Here is an 18,593-nt window from a genome sequence, read left to right as displayed (position 1 = left end):
TCCTCCTCCAGGCGGCGCGTGTGAGTCAATGGAAATGACCGTGGCGGGCGGAGCAGCCACCTAGGACATCGCGGAAGCCTCCTGAGGGGACTTCCACGGCTTGTCCCAGGAGCTTCTACAACAGCTGGCATTGAGAGTTCAGTTATAATATTTTCCGCCAGTTTTTCCCAGCCCGGCCCCCAAGCGTCTGATTTTAAAGTTCCCGCCTCAGGCTCCGGGGCGCCTACCCTGCAAGGGCGCCAGTTCTCCGACACCTGCTAGGGAATGAATCCCCATCCCAGGAGGAAGGCGTGGCGGGGACGGAAGAAACAACCACACGATCTGTGACAGTGACCAAGCTTTAGAGGCCCCGTGTGCCTGCCAGGCGCCTGAGCCCACACCGTCCACGCTTCCCTGCCCCGGCGGGAACCACCTGTTCTCCTTGCACCGGCGAGGGCCCGGGGTCACCCCCCGCCGGGCCGACCCCAGGCAGCTCCAGAACCCCCTCCCAATCGCCCCGTCTTGGGAGCGCAGGGAGTCTGGCTCTTCCCTGCCAATAACGAAATCATCACGGACATTAGGAAAGCGGGGCGAGGCTGGGAAGGGAGCGGCTTTAATCCGGGGTCCGCCCCCTTCAATTCTCCAGCTTAGCGGTCCCGAAAGTGGGGTGGGGACGGGGATTGAGGCTGAGCTCGCTTCTTCCTTGTTTTCCGGGTCTTGCGCCTCTGAAGCGAACTAGGCCTGGAGGAGTGCTGGGGGTCGAGGAAACAGGGTTGGGGTGACCGAGGGACAGGTGGGGCGGGCACCTGGGCCCCGGTCGAGGCGGATTCCGAGGCGGAGCCGCTGCCTGCCTGCGCCTCGCCTGCTCGGTCCACCCAACAGCTCCGCCCTAGACTCGCAGCTGCGGAAGCGGTGGGCCGGGTGGTGATTACAACCCTGAGCGCTGTCCCTTTGGAACCTGACTCCCGACTCCGCTCAGCAACCGGGAGGTTGCGACCTCAAAGCCCTCTGTGCTTCTCCATCGATACCGGGCCGCCTCTCTCGCCTGCAGCGCACGCCTCCGCCCCCAGGGGCAGCGCAGCGAGGCGGAGACCCTCCTGCATTCCGAGCGTGCGGGGCAGCCCTCAGACTGAGGACCTGCGACTTCGTGGGACGCCGGTGTCCGCCACTGCGCCCCTCCAGGGAGCAGAGGCGGCTCTGGAAGTCGGTTTAGGGCGGAGACCGCGACTGGAGGGGCGCAGAACGCTCTTCCCAGCGTCCCGGGCTCCACCGGCACAATTTTAAAACCAGGGGCGAAATCCGAGTCCTGCCGCCACGCGGGGGTGGAGCGTGACCGCCTCGCCGCGCGCTGTCTCAGGCTCCGCCGGCTTTAGCGCCGCGAGGCTGCCAGGTGAGTTCCAGGGCTCTGTGGTTCCTAGAGCGCTCCCGGGAGTCTCCTGGCTGCAGCGGGAACCGAGCTGGATGCCCGGACAGCGCCGGGGTCGTTTTTCTGCCCCTGCCCCGTGGCCGGAGCCGCAGGCCTGCCGCTACCCCCACCCGGGCCACGCCTTCCTTCCTCGCGGCCGGACCGCGCCAGAGTCCCGGGCCCTGGCTGGAAACTCGCAGGCCCCGGGCAGCCTGGGCCGCAAGTGCGATGAAGAAGCGGGGCCCGGCGCGCACATGTGGTTCCGGGCAGGAGCCCCGGCCGCCTCGTGCCCTTCTTCTCGCCCACGACGGTGGCCGGCGGCGGCCTCTGCTTCCCGGACCCATGAACAAAGCTGGAGATGCGGCTTTGGAGTCGGCCCTGGGACCTGCTTCTTCTCTTGGCTTCGGGGACCGCAGCCCAGGGCGTTCCCTCCGGATCGGTGGCCAGGGCTTGCGGGGCGTGTGCGACTCGGGACCCCCAGCCGGGCAGCAGCGGCCGCCAAGCATGGCAAGGAGCAGCGCCAGCTTCTCCCCACCGCGTCCCGGGATGGCGGGCTTCGGGTGGGAGCCGGCCCGGGACATCCAGGTGGGATCAGCCACCGCTCAGGCCTTGTCCCAAGCGGACGCGGCCAGAGGCAGTCTCAGCACCACGCAGGCCGCGGGCTCAGTGGGCAAAGAGAGGGGCCCCCGGTTTAGACCAAAAACGTGTGTTCTCCAACCTCCTACTTAACAGCCCCTGTCTCATATGCTGGTTCCTGTCTCTAATAGTTCCTAGGTGTCTGGGACCGGTGACTTGGCCCCTGTTATCCCCGAGCTCAGCCGCAGGCTTCAGGGACCTGGGCAAAGTGTGGATAACCCTGCCCGCCTTTTGGGGAGGAAAGCCAGTTGCTCCCCTAGCCTCTACTGTGGCACTACGAAGCAAGGGCAGCCAAGCTGATCGCTGGTTTCATCTGCACCACCCCACTCCCTCTGGCAGGTGATGAGATGGCCAGTGACGGGTGGGTTGGCAGCTGGACTGGCGTGGCATGGCTAGCTGCCCTGGGCACCATATTCCCTGCCTGTCACCACTCCTGGTTGTCCAACAAAGCAAAGTCACAATGACAAGATCCAGAGAGGGGAGTCTCCAGCTGGAGATGGTGCCGCTGTCACAGGGCACCAGAGCAGCAATGTGACAGCTTCTCATGGAGGCAGACTCTGTTCCCAGTCCCTACCCAACCCTGGCTTGATCCTTGTCAGTGTCTTATTTCTTTGCCTTGCCTTTATCTCAGCCTGGCTTCCCTTCCAGGCAGCTCTGAGTGGCTCTTGGTCCAGGCTTGTCTCCATCTCTCCTTCCTCTTCCCAACTCCCTAAACTCAGGACCCAGTCACTCCTGCTCCTTACATACACACACACACTAACACACGCACACACTCACTCTCACCCTCTCCCCCCCACACACTCACACACACTCCCACCCTACCTTAGGAAACAGGTTTCCTTCCATGAACCTTTATTAAGACCTGTGGGGAATGACCAGGATCTGGGCCCCCAGTGTGTCTGTGAGCCAGCTTGTGTGTGTGTGCAAAGGTGTGAGTGTGTGAGCATCCATGTGGCTGTGGAAATTAGAAAGCATGTGTGTACACACGCGAGTGTGACAGTGAAGTGCTGAGAGTTGAAACAGTGTGCGTTTGGGGTCAGTGTGACCTTGTCTGTGTGGGCACACAGGTGAGCTGTGGCGACGGTGGAGGGATGTGAGTGACTCTGAGTGTGGAAGCTGAGCCCAGGGCAGATGGACAAATGCATCCTTTGAGCTCCTGTAGAGACTGCCACTCCATACCTTGCTCAACTACTCCCTCTTTGTCATCCTGGGCTCCCTCAAATCAGGATGGGGTGCAGGAAGGGGAAGTGAAGCTGGTGACCTATGGGAAGGGGACTGTCTGCTTCCTGGGCCTGTCAGCCACTGATCTGTTCCATGTTCCTACAAATACTTACAAATCCCAGCTGCTGAGGAGCAAGACATCCTCCACCAGCCAGTTGGGGCTCCTGGCCTGGAGCTATGGAGCGAGACACATGGGGGAGGGGAGGGGGGACCGCATCAGAAAGGCTGGCATCAGGGACTCCTGAGTTCAGCTCCTAGTTTTGCCAAAGGTTAGCCTGGGCACCCCAGTATGTCTTCATCAGGAACTGCAGAGCCAGACACACCATCCACGCCTCTGCCCCAGGAAGCGGCCCTACCTCTGCCTGAAGAGAGAGACTCCCACCTCAACAGCCAGCTTTCTGCCTTCTAGTCACGCCTCTCAATTAGGGGTAAAAAGAGGGGTCTTCTTGTTTTTTGTAGTGGGGGGTGTCTCACTGTGTTGCCCGGACTGTTCTCTAACTCCTGGCCTCAAGTGATCCTCCTGCCTGTAGCTCTGAAAGCACAGCAATTACAGGTGTGAGCTGCCACACCCAGCAGCTTCTTACCCTTTAAACACCACACAAAATTCTCCTGGAGTTCCTGGGGGAGATTGTCTCTTTGAAATCAAAATCTTTCCCAGGACACCTTGAGCAATCCTTCAGGCTCTTTCTGGATTGGAGGCAGAAGAAATTGCAGCTCGGTGACCCTCCCTTTGCAAGGGCCCCCTCTGCAGCCCTTGAGGGGAGTGAAAGCATTTTCATTTGGCCTCATGCCCAGCTGAAGCCAGCTCTTTCACTTCTGGAGCTGGGCTGGTTGTGATAACCTGGAGGAGGGGGAATGAGTTGGGATGACTCACTTGCCCCAGCCCATCAACCCTGGCCTAGGCTTGTGGCCAGACACCTGGTTAACCACCCCAAGAGAGCTTCCTTTCTCAGGGAAATAATGATTATTGATTATTGATCCTCTATATCCACTTCCCAGGACACTGTCAGGCACACCACAGGCCCTTGGGCATTTTTGTGGCATCATCAGCCTTATTCCTGGATCACCATGTCAAGCTTTCCCAATAGCAGTTGGTGGCAAACTCCAACTCCTACTGTCAGAAGGCATCACAAGGCCCAGATATGCTGGGCCTCCCAGCTCAGGCAAGCCCAGCTGTCAGGGACACAGAAACCCCTGACACTGAGCCAAGATCTTTTCCCCCTGTCTTGGCTTGAAATTCAGATATATTGATGTTGAGCCCTCCTGGCCCGCAGTGGGACCCCCCTTAGCCTTACAGAGGTAATGCCTATATCATGGCCTAGGTTTTTCCAAAAAGCCAGACTCTGGGAAGAACCTGGAGTGGAGGAAAAAACCAGGCAGAGGTAACCCCATGAGGGGCTCTGGCATGTGACTCCCTGCTGGAAACGTGCCCCTAACAGGGCATCAAAGCCAGGCAGGCAGGGGCTCCTGCTCTGCCAGAGGCTGGAAATCAGGACTGCAGCTTCCCATCTTACTCTGGGGATGCAGGTCAACTATTTTCCCTCAGATGAGAGATGCTGAAGTTCCAATTTTATAAGATGAGAAGAAGGGCTGAGGTGATGCCCATTCTGCCACTTTGCTGAGTCCAGAGCTGTGATGAAGAGGGAGAAGTCACAGGACAAAGAAGGGGGCTCAGGGACCCCGGAGTTTTCCTTGGCAGAAGTCAACTTGCCCCGCCCCTGAGAAAACTCTGACCTCAGCTGCCAGGGAGGAAAGCAGGGACTGGGGAGGAGGGGACAAGGAGAGGGAATAGTCTGGTGCTCTGTGCTCTGGGAGAGAAGTCTGATGGCGGCAGTGACTCAGGAAGGGTTAAGAATATTCCTAAAATAGCCAAGCCACAGCCTAAGCCAGTTCATGAATGCCTCTTCCAGAGAGCAGATCAGTAGCAGGAAAATTCAGCCTGATCTTCGCCCCACTGCCTGCCGCCTGCCCCTGGCTACTAGTTAAGCCTCCCACCCTGTCCCCTTCACCAACTCCTGTCCTAGTGGGGATGGGGTAGGAGTAGTCAGAGGGGCCAAATCTCCCCCAGTCAACAGGGAACTCCAGCTGGGACCAGGAGTACTGGGCCCCAGTGCCCGCCACCACCCCCCACCCCCATCCACATTCCTGGTCTGAGTCAGGTAGGAGGACTTGGGACAGACAGGCAAAGTGCAGGCCTTGTACATGGGATGGAAGGTGCCAGAAGAGAGCAGCCAAATTCTCCCACCCACACACATGCATCACCAGCCATGATCAGGTGGGACCTCCAAGATCATCCTCAAATACTGCCTTCTCCTAGCTCTGTGTTCCCCTTTACTTAGGGCATCTTGGAGTGAGATGGGCAGGGAGGGGTCGAGTGAGTCCCTTCATGAACAAACCTTATCTTTGTTTCAGGGACAGGACTGGGTACATAATTTGCAGGACCCGGTGCTAACTGAAAATGTGGAGTCTGTTCAAAAATTGTTAAGAATTTGAAGGCAGTGACAACATAGCACTAAACCAAGTTCAGGTCCCCTCTGACAGTGGGGCTTTTGCCACTGCACAGGTGGCACCTCTATGAAGCCAGCCTTGTGCAGGGGTTTGGTTTAATGAACATTTACTTAGCGCCCACTGCTCAGCTCTTCTGGCTCTGTAATATGGTGTGGCTCTGTGTCTGCACCCAAATGTCATTTTGAACTGTAATCCCCACGTGTTGGGGGAGGGGCCTTGTGAGAGGGCATTACATCATGGGAGTGGTTCCCACATGCTGTTCTCGTGATACTGAGTGAGTTCCCACGAGATCTGATGGTTTTATAAGGGGACTTTCCCCTCTTCTGCACTTCTCTCTCCTGCTGCCACGTGAAGGATGTGTTTGCTTCCCCTTCCACCATGATTGTAAGTTTCCTGAGGCCTCCCCAGCCATGTGGAACTGTGAATTAAACTTCTTTCCTGGAGTGTGAAAATGAACTAATAAACTCTGTGACCTCAGAGACTCCCTCTCTGTGACCCTGTTCTCAAATGTATGAAGATGGGTGCTCAAAGATCTCTCTCTAAACATGGAACAGGGCCTGTCTGAAGACATAAGTGATTAACTTCTAATCTATAACTAAGGTCTGAGTCCTGAAGACCTTCCTCTGGAGGCTGAGTAGTTAATCTAGATGGGTCCAGGTGCTGCAGGTGATTACCTTTATCTTGTTTCCTGCAAAATCATGGAGGTTTGGGAAGTTCCTTTAGACCCATTCTCGTATGGAGGTTTGTTTTCTTCTTTTTTCTTTCCTGCAAGGACAAACCGAATTCTGTGATGGTTTGTGTAGCATTTTTGAGTTTATTGCCAAAAATTGAGGCTCGTTTGTAGACTACATTTTTTAATAAAATAAAACTTTCTAGACAAAGAAATGCAGGTGAAACTGTTCCTTTGACACCATTTTCCAAATCTACACAGAGTTGATAGCAAATTTTTCTCTTTATCTTTCCTTAAATTGTATATATTCATATAAATGCTCTTAAATTCTTAGTGCAACCGAGTGGATTGTCATTACAGAGCATGTCCTTAGCATAGAGCACAGATCTTCCCACTGTCAACTGGGCTCTGTTCACAAAGCACCCAGAGCTGGCCTTCAACTTCCACTCCTCAGTTCCTTTGCCTACCTTATTTCTAAAATAGGGAAGGTATTTGTCTTTTTAATATTTAATAAATGACATTTATTATCATTCTGCCTACTGAATTTCACTTGTCTGTCTGGTAATAACCTACTCCCGTAAGAATCAATGAGTTCTTGGTACATATTGGTCTAAATTTGCCTCCTCTTTGAACCTTTTTCCAGTTTTCCAGGCAAGGTTGATTTATCTATCTATTTATTCTATGTTTCCATAACAATCTTTCCAAGCATAATACAGTAAAAAAAGAGCTGATTCATCATGTCCTGTCCGTTTCCCTCTGGAGACTTTGGAGCCAATGTGAGGGTACAGGTATGCTCCTGTATAAGCTCTTTGGTCGCCTTTGTCAGTTTAGGACAGTTCTCAGTATGTAATTGTTCTCAGGTGCCATTAAACTAGACCTGAATAATTGAAGGATTGAAAGTGTTCAGAAATCACCCAGGATGCTTCAATAATTCATCCTAATTAGGGATATGGGGATAGTTTGCATGAGAAAGAAGTTTTTCTTTTTGAGGAAAAGTTAAAATTCAGCAGGCAGAATGAAAATAAATGTCAATAATTTTTTATTTTAAAATATTCATGTTTTACTATTTTGATATAATTTTTAAAGAAAAAGGCAGAAACCACTGCTTATTAGAAGGCAGATTTTATTGATTTTATACCCCTAGACTTGTTGCATATCAAACCTATGTAAAAACATCTATAAATCAAATCATTAATTGCACCTAGTATAATAATTCTATATATGGAGGTAATGTTTGATTCTTCAGGAGCTTTAATAACTTGAAGCCCGTTTGATTGCTTTAAAATGATTTCTCATTGTATTTGTTTATATTGTATCATTAAGCAAAAGTACAGAGTAAGCAATTAGTGTGATTAATTCCTCTTCCATAATACAGTAAAGCACTGCCTCCATAGACCAATTCTCTGGGATCCCTGGAAAACATCTGGCATCCAGCAAGTCTTGACCCCTCTTTAGAAAGCCATGGAGAAACTGGAGGCAATTCTGTTAATTATTTGCCCTCTAGAGGCAATTGGGTTAATTACCCTCCCTTCCCTATCCATGACACAATTTCTCCAGTTACATGTAGAATGCTGTTATGTGTCTCCTGACCAGACCCCTTATTTCATAGATGTGGAAACTGAGGCCATGAAGGATGAGGTGACTGTTCACAATCCACATGGCTAGTTAGTGTCCAGAGCCTGGCCTGGACTTCTCTCTTGTTCTGGGGCCTTGAGTTCTCTCCCTCTTCTTTAGTACATATGGCCACAGGTAACGTAATCTGCGTACCACATTTGCATTTGGAGTGCATCTGTTTTGCATTCATTTAATCTTGTTGAGATGGTTTGCTTGTTGACCTACTCAGTCAGTTATCTTTTCACCTTTGTGAGTTGAGAGCTTTGTGTATTAAATCTGTAAAACTTTGCATCGTGGAAAGTGACATAATCTGTAGCAGACCCATGCTGTTTTTAGATGCATCTTCATTGTGGTAGTGACAGTGATTGAGAAACTTTACATGTTTTTCTGTGCTATTTCAGAATATGCCTTCTGAATTCAGCTAGAGGTGGAGTCAAAAACAACAGAATACTATATTTTTGTTTCTCTGATTTAGGTAAAATACCTCTTTTCTGACAAGACTAGGACTCTTACATAGACTACCATGAACTAAAAGAAGCACAACATTGCCAGAGTAACCTGTGGTACGTGTATTAATCACTTACTGAACATTTTACTTGCATTCTTTCAAGAAAATGAGTTTATTTTTAGATACTTAGTCAAATTATCTTGACTCTCTGATGTTTTTAAAGAGTATTTATAATAGATTTAGTTATTTCATTAATATTGAATGTATTTAAAACTAAATGCATCCCAAAGGAAACTGAACAGTTAAAACATGGTTTATTTCTGCAAATATTAACTTAGTGAGAAATCCCAGGGAATCTGCACATTTGTGTTTTCTATCTAACAATCATGAATTTCTTAGTGTATGTTTTGATCAGGCTGTCTTTTGATCACAGTTTTGTGACCACTCTGTTATTCCTCTCTCTCTGGCAGTCATTTCCCAGAATTGACAAGGAATTCATCCTGAGATGATTTCTGCTAAGTAAATCCTAGCACTTCTTGACACTTTAGAAAAGGCTTTGGAATAATTTTATATTAGCATTTTTCACCTGCATATTTTTACATGTAAATATAAGCTGTGAATGCATTACTTTGAAAGAGAGCCAGGATAAAATTTAAAGAAACATGGTTTTAGAAGTCCAATGGTAGTATAAGATTTCACAAAGAAACAGACTGCTCTTCATTCAGTACTTCCTATTTACTCCCCAGACACAGCCAACTTCAACATTTTTTACTTAAAAAATGTATTTTTATATTTCAAAATAACATGTTTATGTGACCTGTCTCTCACCCATCCTGCCCTACTCTGGCTTTACCCCCTTCAGAATATTTAAAATTTCTTGAGTATCCTTAGCATATACCATTCCAATCATGAATCTTGGGGTAGGCTTATTTTTTTTTTAATTTGTGCATTTAATAAACCCCTAGTGGTACATGTCTGTTTTTCTTGTTAATTCTTGGAAATGTCTTTCTATTGTTTCTACAATAATTTTCTTCCCCTCTAGCTTCCCTTTTTCTTCTGGATCTCGTTAGGTATTGAACCTCTTGAGTTGATTTTCTAATTTTTGTCATCTCCCTCTCTCATTTTTTGTATTTTGTGTTTAATTTTCTGGTATCTAATTCACCTTGATTTTCTATCTTTCTGGTGATATTTTCATATGCTGTCACTCTTACAGTTGTCAAACGCCTTCTCCTGACCTTGCCCTTGTGTTCTGTTTACTCTGCCCACCTCTTCGATTCTCCCCATTGCTACCTGGTGTTTTGGTTTCTTTTTCTTTTCTTTTCTTTTTTTTTTTTTTGAGACAGAGTCTCGCTCTGTAGCCAGGCTGGAGTGCTGTGGCGCGATCTCAGCTCACTGCAATCTCCACCTCCCGGGTTCAGTAGCTGGGACTACAGGCACATGCCACCACACCCAGCTAAATTTTGTATTTTTAGTAGAGACTAAACATACATTTCACCATGTTGGCCAGGATGGTCTCGATGTCTTTACCTCGTGATCCGCCCATCTCAGCCACCCAAAGTGCTAGGATTACAGGCGTTAGCCACCGCTCCCAGCCTTGGCTTCTTAATTTTGTTTTATAAGCTTTCTTCAAAGGCCTGGTCATCATTTGCTGTGTGTTTATATATTTTTATTTTTTCAGTGGGCAAAATACATGTAACATAAAATGTATCACATTAACTATTTTAAGTGTACAGTTCAGTTGCTTTAACTATATTCATAATGTTTTGTAATGATTCCCACCATTCCTCTCTAGAACTTTTTCATGTGAAGCTCTGTACCTGTAAAACAGTAATTCCTAACTCCTGTCATCTTCCAGTCCCTATTAACCACCATTCTACTTTCTGCCTCTATGACTTTGCCTATCTTAGGTACCTCATATAAGTGGAATCATACAGTATTTGTCTTTTTGTGTTTGGCTTATTTCCATTAGCATAATGTATTCAAGGTTTCATTGTTCATCCACATTGTGAAATGTGTCAGAATCTCCTTCCTTTAAAAAGGAATAATATTCCAATAATATTCCATTGCGTGCATATATCACATTTGTTTATCCATTCATCCACCAGTGGGCATGATGTTGCTTCCACCTTCTGGCTACTGTGAGTACTGCTGCTGTAAACATTGCTATGCAAATATCTTTTTGGGTCCCTGCATTTAATTATTGGGGCTATATACCTCAAAGTGGAATTACTGGGTCATATAGTAATTCTATGTTCAACTTTTTGAGGAACCACTGTGCTGCTCTGTAGAGCAGTCCACCACTTTACACTACTATTAGTAATGCACAAGGGTTTCATTTTCTCCATGTCCTTGTCAACACTTTTAATTTTCCATCTTTTGTTTGTTTGCATTATAATCGCCATTTTAATGGGTATGAAGTTGTACCTCTTTGTGATCTTGCTTTACATCTCCCGTATGACTTGTGATATTTTCTGCACATATTTTAAGGTTTATATACTAACAAAGCCGATTACTAGGGGGGTGTGTGTAGGGGGAACTGTGTGGCTGCTGAGTGGCTTCCCTGTGGGATGATCAGCCAGAACCCACTATTGTATCAGGAAATCCCCAGGTGTCACCATCTATGGGTCTTTTGTAGTTTTTATGGGTACACAGTAGGCATATATGTATTTATGGGGTATATGAGATATTTTGATACAAACATATAATGCATAATAATCACATCAGGGTAAATGCGTTATCCATCATCTCAAACATTTATCATTTCCTTGTATTATGAACAATTCAGTTATACGCAGTTATCTTAAAATGTACAAAAAACTATTGCTGACTATAGTTACCCCGTTGTGCTATCAAATAAAAGATCTTATTCATTGTAACTACATTTTGTACCTATTAACCATCCCCACTTCCCCCCACTGGCTACACTTCCCAGCCTCAAGTAACAACCATTCTACTCTATCTTCATGAGTTTGTTTTAATATTCAGCTCCCCCAAATCAATGTGAATGTACAAAGTTTATCTTTCTGTGGCTGGCTTATTTTACTTAAAATAATATCCTACAGCACCATTCCATGTTGTCACTAATGACAGAATCTCATTCTTTGTTATGGCTGAAAAGTACTCCATCATATATAGGCACATTTTCTTTATCCATTCATCTGTTGATGGACACTGAGGTTGCTTCCACATCTTGGATATTGTGAATAGTAATGCAATAAACATAGGAGTGCAGTTATCTCTTCGATATATTGATTTTCTTTTTTTGTGTATATATCTAGCAATGAGATTGCTGGATCATATGATAGCTCTAATTTTAGTTTTTTGAGGAACCTCCAAATTGTTCTCCATAGTGGTTGCACTAATTTACATTCCCACCAACAGTATGCAAGGGTTGGCTTTTTTTCCATATCCTCACCAGCATTTGTTATCACCTGTCTTTTGAAAAAACAGCCATTTTAACTGAGGTGAGATGATATCTCTTCATAGTTCTGATTTGCATTTCTCTGATAATCAGTGATGTTGGCCACCTTTTCCTAAGTCTGTTAGTCTTTTGTATTTCTTTTTTTGAGAAATATCTATTAAGATCTCTTGCCCATTTTCAAATCAGATTATTAGATTTTTCTCTATACAGTTGTTTGAGCTTTTTATATATTCTGGTTATTAATCCCTTGTCAAATGGATAGTTTGCAAATACGTTTCCCCATTTTTTGGATTTTCTCTTTGTTGACTGTCTCTTTTGCTATGCAGAAGCTTTTTAACTTAGTGCAATCCCAATTGTCCACTTTTGCTTTGGTTGTCTGTGCTTGTGGGGTATTGCTTAAGAAATCTTTCCATAGTCTAATAGCCTGGAGAATTTCCCCAATGTCTTCTTGTAGTAGTTTAACCTACCAAGATTAAACCATGAAGAAATTCAAAACCTGAACCGACCAATAACAAATAATGAAATCAAAGCCTTAATAAAAACTACCAACAAAGAAAATCCTGGAAGCAATAGCTTCACTGCTGTATTTTACCAAACACATACAGAATAACTAACACCAATCCTACTCAAACTATCCCAAAGAATAGAGGAGGGAGGAATATTTCAATGCCTGATACTTAAACCAAAGACAAATTAAAAGAGAAAACTACAGGCCAATATCCCTATGAAAAATTGATGCAAAAATCCTCAAGGAAATTTACAAACAAAACAAATCCACAACATATTGAAAATTATTCATAATGACTAAGTGGAATTTATGCCAGGAATGGAAGGATGGTTCAAAATATGCAAATCAATGTGATCATCATATCAACAGAATGAAGGACAAAATTTATATAATAATGTCAATTGATGCGGTAAAGCATTTGATAAAATTCAACATTTTATTGTAAAAACCCTTCAAAAAACAGGGTATAGAAGAAACATACCTCAACACAGTAAAAGCCATATAAGACACTCCCACAAGTATAGTATCTTACTGAATGGCAGAAAAACTGAAAGCCTCTCCTCTAAGCTCTGGAACAAGAGATGCTCATTTTCACCACTCTGCCTCCTGAGTTCAAGCAATTCTCCTGCCCAAGCCTCCCTAGTAGCTAGGACTATAGGTGCATGCCACCACACCTGGCTAATTCTTTTCTTTTCTTTCTTTTTTTTTTTTTTTGTATTTTTAGTAGAGATGGGGTTTCACCGTGTTAGCCAGCATGGTCTCAATCTCCTGACCTTGAGATCTGCCCACCTCAGACTCCCAAAGTGCTGGGATTACAGGCATGAGCCACTGGGCCCAGGCCTTCCTGTCTTCTTCTAAGCTCTCCAAACTGTTCCAACCTCTGCCCATTACCCACTTCCAAAGCTGCTTCCACATTTTCAGGTATCTTCATAGCAATGCTCTACTTCCCAGTACCAATTTTCTGTATTAGTCTGTTCTTGCACTGCTATGAAGAACTACCTGAGACTGGGTAATTTTATAAAGAAAAGTGGTTTAATTGGATCACGATTCTGCAGGCTGAACAAGAAGCATGGCTGAGGAAGCCTCAAGAAATTTACAATCATGGCAGGAGGTGAAGAGGGAGGTGACACGCCTTACATGGCTGAAGCAGGAGGAAGAGAGAGCAAAAGGGAAGATGCTACGTACTTTTAAACAATCAGATCTGGTGAGAACTCACTATACAAGAATGGCAAGGGAGAAATCCTCCCCCATGATCCAATTACCTCTGCCCAGACCCCTCCTCCTACACTGGGGATTACAATTAGACATGAGATTTGAGTGGGGACACAAATCCAAACCATAAGGTTAGTATTAAAAGTTAATTGCTTTCCTATATACTAGCAATGAAAAAAACTGGAATTTGAAATTTCAAATACAATGCTATTTACATGAGTACCCCAAAAATGAAATATGTAGGCATACAGTAAACAAAATATGTACAGGATCTATATGAGGAAAACTTCAAAACTTTAATGAAAGAAATCAAAGGAAACCTAAATAAATTGATATATATTTCATGTGCAAGGATAGCAAGACTCAGTATTGTTAAGATGTTAATACTCCCCTTCTTGATCTATAGATTCAACTCTACTCCAATTAAAATTCTAGCAGGTTATTTTGTAGATATAAACACATTTATTCTAAAGCTTATATGAAGACGCAAAAGACTCATAGTCAAAATGCTGAAGAATAACAACTCAGAGGACTGACACTACCCAACTTTAAGACTTACTCTCCAGCTAAATAATTGAGTTAGCATGGCATTAGTGAAAGAATATGCAGATTGATCAATGGTTCAGAAGAGAGAGCCCGGAAATTGACCTATGCAAATATAGTTAGCTGAGCTTTGACAAAGAAGCAAAGGCAATTAAATGAAAGAATGCAGTCTCTTCAACAAATGGTGCTTAAAAATTGATGTCCATGTACAAAAAAAAAGAATCTAAGTTCAGACTTTACACCCTTCTCAAAAATTAAAACTCAAAATGGATCAAAGATCTAAATGTAGAATGCAGAATCAGAAAACTTCTAGATCAAGAATATCCAGGTGACCTTGGGTTTGGTGATGTATTTTTAGATACAGCTAAGTGTAGGTGCAGTGGCTCACACCTGTAATCCCAGTACAGGTGTAGCTGTAGGGAGCTGAGGGAGGCAGATCGCTACAGCTCAGGAGTTTGAGACCAGCCTGGTCAACATGGTGAAACCTAATCTCTACCAAAAATACAAAAAATTAGCAGGTGTGGTGGTACGCACCTGTGGGGCCAGCTACTTGGGAGGCTAATGGGGGAGAATTGCTTGAGCCTGCGAGGCAGAGGTTGCAGTGAGCTGAGATTGCACCACTGCACTCCAGCCTGGTGACAGAGCAAGACTCTGTCTCAAGAAAAAAAAAATGTCGTTTTATCCACTGGGTTTTGTTTCCTACTTTTTTGATTTGTGTTAAGAAAGGGGAAAAAAATCACAAGTTTGTCTAACCATTCAGTAGAAAAACAGAGCATTTGCAGACAACTTGGCAAGGGTAGAGAAATGGATGTACTGTTTTTCAGTATTTGGGGAAGGTGGTTTGAGCAGTATTTATTGACAATTTCATTAGTGGGGATGTTTCTATTAAAAACACATAGTAAGATCATTAAGTGTTCTTGCAATATAAAGTAATAATACCACCAGTGTTTATCTTACTGTTTTCATGTTCTAAATGCATGCACCTGAGTAAAAGGATCTGGGCTGCAGTCTAGGCTGAGAGATGCCAGCAAAGGCTGCCTAGGCCAGTGCAGTCCAGTAAATCCCTCTTTAATCTTCTTTTCCACACAGACAGCAGTGATGAGCATGCCCACGAACCCACATGATTATTTTGGGAAAAATGAAAGAGTTGTATTCTTTTTGTGGTAGTAATTCCACTTCCAGGGGCAAATACATTTTGATTATTTTATCACCTTTCAGTGAGTTGTTTTTGTTCTTTAACCAAGGATGTATGTTTGAGGTAAGAAGTAAAGCATAAAGTATATGATTTTTTGTGTGTATTTTTATCTTGCTATACCCATAGGGAATGTTTAATTCTGCCTTGGAAGTGGCCATATTTGAAGGTGCTGTGATTCAAACTGTCAGCGAGATAAGGCAGCAGATCAAGAAAGCACTCCGGGCTCCAGAAGGAGCCTTCCAGGCCAGCTTTGAGCATAAGCTGCTGATGAGCAGTGAGTGTCTTGAGTAGTGTTCAGGGCAGCATGTTACCATTCATGCTTGACTTCTAGCCAGTGTGACGAGAGGCTGGAGTCAGGTCTCTAGAGAGTTGAGCAGCTCCAGCCTTAGATCTCCCAGTCTTATGCGGTGTGCCCATTCGCTTTGTGTCTGCAGTCCCCTGGCCACACCCAGTAACAGTTCTGGGATCTATGGGAGTAGCTTCCTTAGTGAGCTTTCCCTTCAAATACTTTGCAACCAGGTAGAGAATTTTGGAGTGAAGGTTTTGTTCTTCGTTTCTTCACAATATGGATATGCATCTTCTTTTGAAAATGTTAAAGTAAATTACCTCTCTTTTCAGATACTGTCTTCATGCGAACTTGGTATCCTGTTTCCATCCCAGCCTTCTATAACCCAGTAACATCTTTTTTGAAACCAGTGGGTGAGAAAGACACCTGGTCAGGAACGCGGACCACAGGACAACTCAGGCTCACCCACGGCATCAGACTAAAGGCAAACAAGGACTCTGTATAAAGTACCGGTGGCATGTGTATTAGTGGAGATGCAGCCTGTGCTCTGCAGACAGGGAGTCACACAGACACTTTTCTATAATTTCTTAAGTGCTTTGAATGTTCAAGTAGAAAGTCTAACATTAAATTTGATTGAACAATTGTATATTCATGGAATATTTTGGAACGGAATACCAAAAAATGGCAATAGTGGTTCTTTCTGGATGGAAGACAAACTTTTCTTGTTTAAAATAAATTTTATTTTATATATTTGAGGTTGACCACATGACCTTAAGGATACATATAGACAGTAAACTGGTTACTACAGTGAAGCAAATTAACATATCTACCATCGTACATAGTTACATTTTTTTGTGTGACAGGAACAGCTAAAATCTACGTATTTAACAAAAATCCTAAAGACAATACATTTTTATTAACTATAGCCCTCATGATGTACATTAGATCTCTAACTTGATCATCCTATATGTCTGCTTTGTATTTTCTTAATGTACGTCTCCCCATTTGCTATTGGTCATTTCCTATTTGGCTCATTTTTCAACTGGGTTGTTTTCCTGTTATTAAAAGAGTTCTTTACTGATTTTTGGACATTAACTCTTTATCAGATATGTGATCTGCAAATATTTCCTCCAGTCTGTAGGTTCTCTTTTCATTTTGTTGGTTTTTTCCTTTGCTGTGCAGAAGCTTTTTAGTTTGATGCAGTCCTCCTTGTTTATGTTTCCATTTGTAGCCTGGCTTGTGGTGTGATATCAAAAAAATAATTGCTAAGGCCAATGTCAAGAGGCTTTCCCCCTATGTTCTCTTCTAGGAGTTTTAAGGTTTCAGGTCTTATTTGGGTCTTGGGTCTTGTATCTGTTTTGAGTTGATTTTTGTGTATGGTGTATGATCAGGGTCCATTTTTATTCTTTTGAATGTGAAAATCCAGTTTTCCCAGCACTATTATTGAAGAGACTATTTTTCTTTCCATTGTGTTGTCTTGTTTGCCCTTGTCAAAAATTAGTTGACAGTATATGTTTGGATTTATTTCAAAGGTCTCTGTTCTGTTCCGTTGGTTTATACTTTTTGTTTCTATGCCAGTATCATACTGTTTTGATTACTATAGCTTTGTAATACAATTTTAAATCAAGAGGTGTGATGCCTCCAACTTTTTCTTTCACAGTAATCTGTTGGCTGTTTGGGGTTTTTTGTGGTTCCATACAAGTTTCAGGATTGTTTTTTCTGTTTTTTTTTTTTGTTTGTTTGTTTTTTTCTTGAGATGAAGTCTCACTCTGTTGCCCAAGTTGGAGTGCAGTGGCACAACCTTGGCTCACTGCAACCTCTGCTTCCCGGATTCAAGCAATTCTCCTGCCTCAGCCTCCCGAGTAGCTGGGACTACAGGCACATGCCGCTATATCCAGCTAATTTTTGTAGTTTTAGTAGAGACAGGGTTTCACTATATTGGCCAGGCTGGTCTCCAAGTCCTGACCTCGTGATCCACCTGCCTCGGCCTCCCAAAGTGCTGGGATTACAGGCATGAACCACAACACCTGGCCAGGATTGTTTTTTTCTGTTCTGTGAAGAATGCCACCAGAACTTTGATGAGGATTGTGTTAAATCTATATATTTGCTTTGGGTAGTGTGAACATTTAAACAATATTAATTCTTCTGATCCATAAACATAGGATATCTTTTCATTTGTTCATATCTAAATTTCTTTCATCAATGTTTTATGGTTTTCAAGTGTACACATCTTCCGTCTTATTGGTTAAATTCATTCCTAAGTATATGTTTTTCTTTGATGTTATTGTAAATGAGATTGTTTTCTTGATTTCTTTGTCAGCTAGGTTATTTGTATATAGAAATGCAACTGATTTTTATATGTTGAGTTTATACTTTGCAGCTTAACTGAATTGATTTAGTAGTTCTCAGAGTTTTTTGTGGAATGTTTGGAGTTTTTTACATAAAGGGTCTTGTCATCTGCAGATAGAGATAATTTTACTTCTTTAATTTAGTTGCTTTTTTTTCCTCATCAGATTGCTCTTGCAAGTACTATGTTCAATAAAAGTGATGAGACTGGGCATCCCTATCTTGTACTCAATCTTAGTAGAAAAGCTTTTAGTTATTCCCCACTGACTATGATGTAGGCCATGGGTTTCTCATAAACGGTCTTTATTATGTTGAGGAACTTTCCTTCTATACATAAACTATTAAAAGGTTTTATCAAGAAAGGTTGCTAAACTTTGTTAAATGCTTTCTCTGCATCAATTCAGGTGACCATGTGGTTTTATCTTTCATTTTGTTAATGTGATATATCACATTGATTTACATATGTTAAACCAGCCTTGCATGCCAGAGATAATTCCCACTTAATCATGATGTATAATCTTTTTGATGTGTTGTTGAATTCTACTTCCTAAATTTTTTTTTCCTGATCAGCCATTTATTTTTATATACATATATATATTTT

The 18,593-nt window shown here is 44.1% G+C and overlaps 2 pseudogenes across 2 annotated transcripts in view; one reads left to right on the top strand and one right to left on the bottom strand.

The window, feature by feature from the left end:
* Positions 1–18,593, bottom strand: part of DUXAP8 (double homeobox A pseudogene 8) — a 42,481-nt pseudogene that overhangs the window by 5,445 nt on the left and 18,443 nt on the right. Inside the window, exon 7 of the transcript NR_122113.1 lies at positions 6,424–6,514. The product of NR_122113.1 is annotated as a double homeobox A pseudogene 8 (transcript). The remainder of the gene's footprint in view (positions 1–6,423; positions 6,515–18,593) is intronic.
* BMS1P22 (BMS1 pseudogene 22) lies at positions 1,106–16,292 on the top strand (annotated as a pseudogene). Its single transcript, NR_133911.1, has 3 exons — positions 1,106–1,369; positions 8,509–8,596; positions 15,979–16,292. The product of NR_133911.1 is annotated as a BMS1 pseudogene 22 (transcript).

Source organism: Homo sapiens, chromosome 22 (assembly GCF_000001405.40).
Source record: "Homo sapiens chromosome 22, GRCh38.p14 Primary Assembly".
Taxonomy (NCBI): domain Eukaryota; kingdom Metazoa; phylum Chordata; class Mammalia; order Primates; family Hominidae; genus Homo; species Homo sapiens.
Note: the sequence above shows the minus strand (reverse complement) of the source record. Positions and strands in the feature narration are given on the sequence as shown.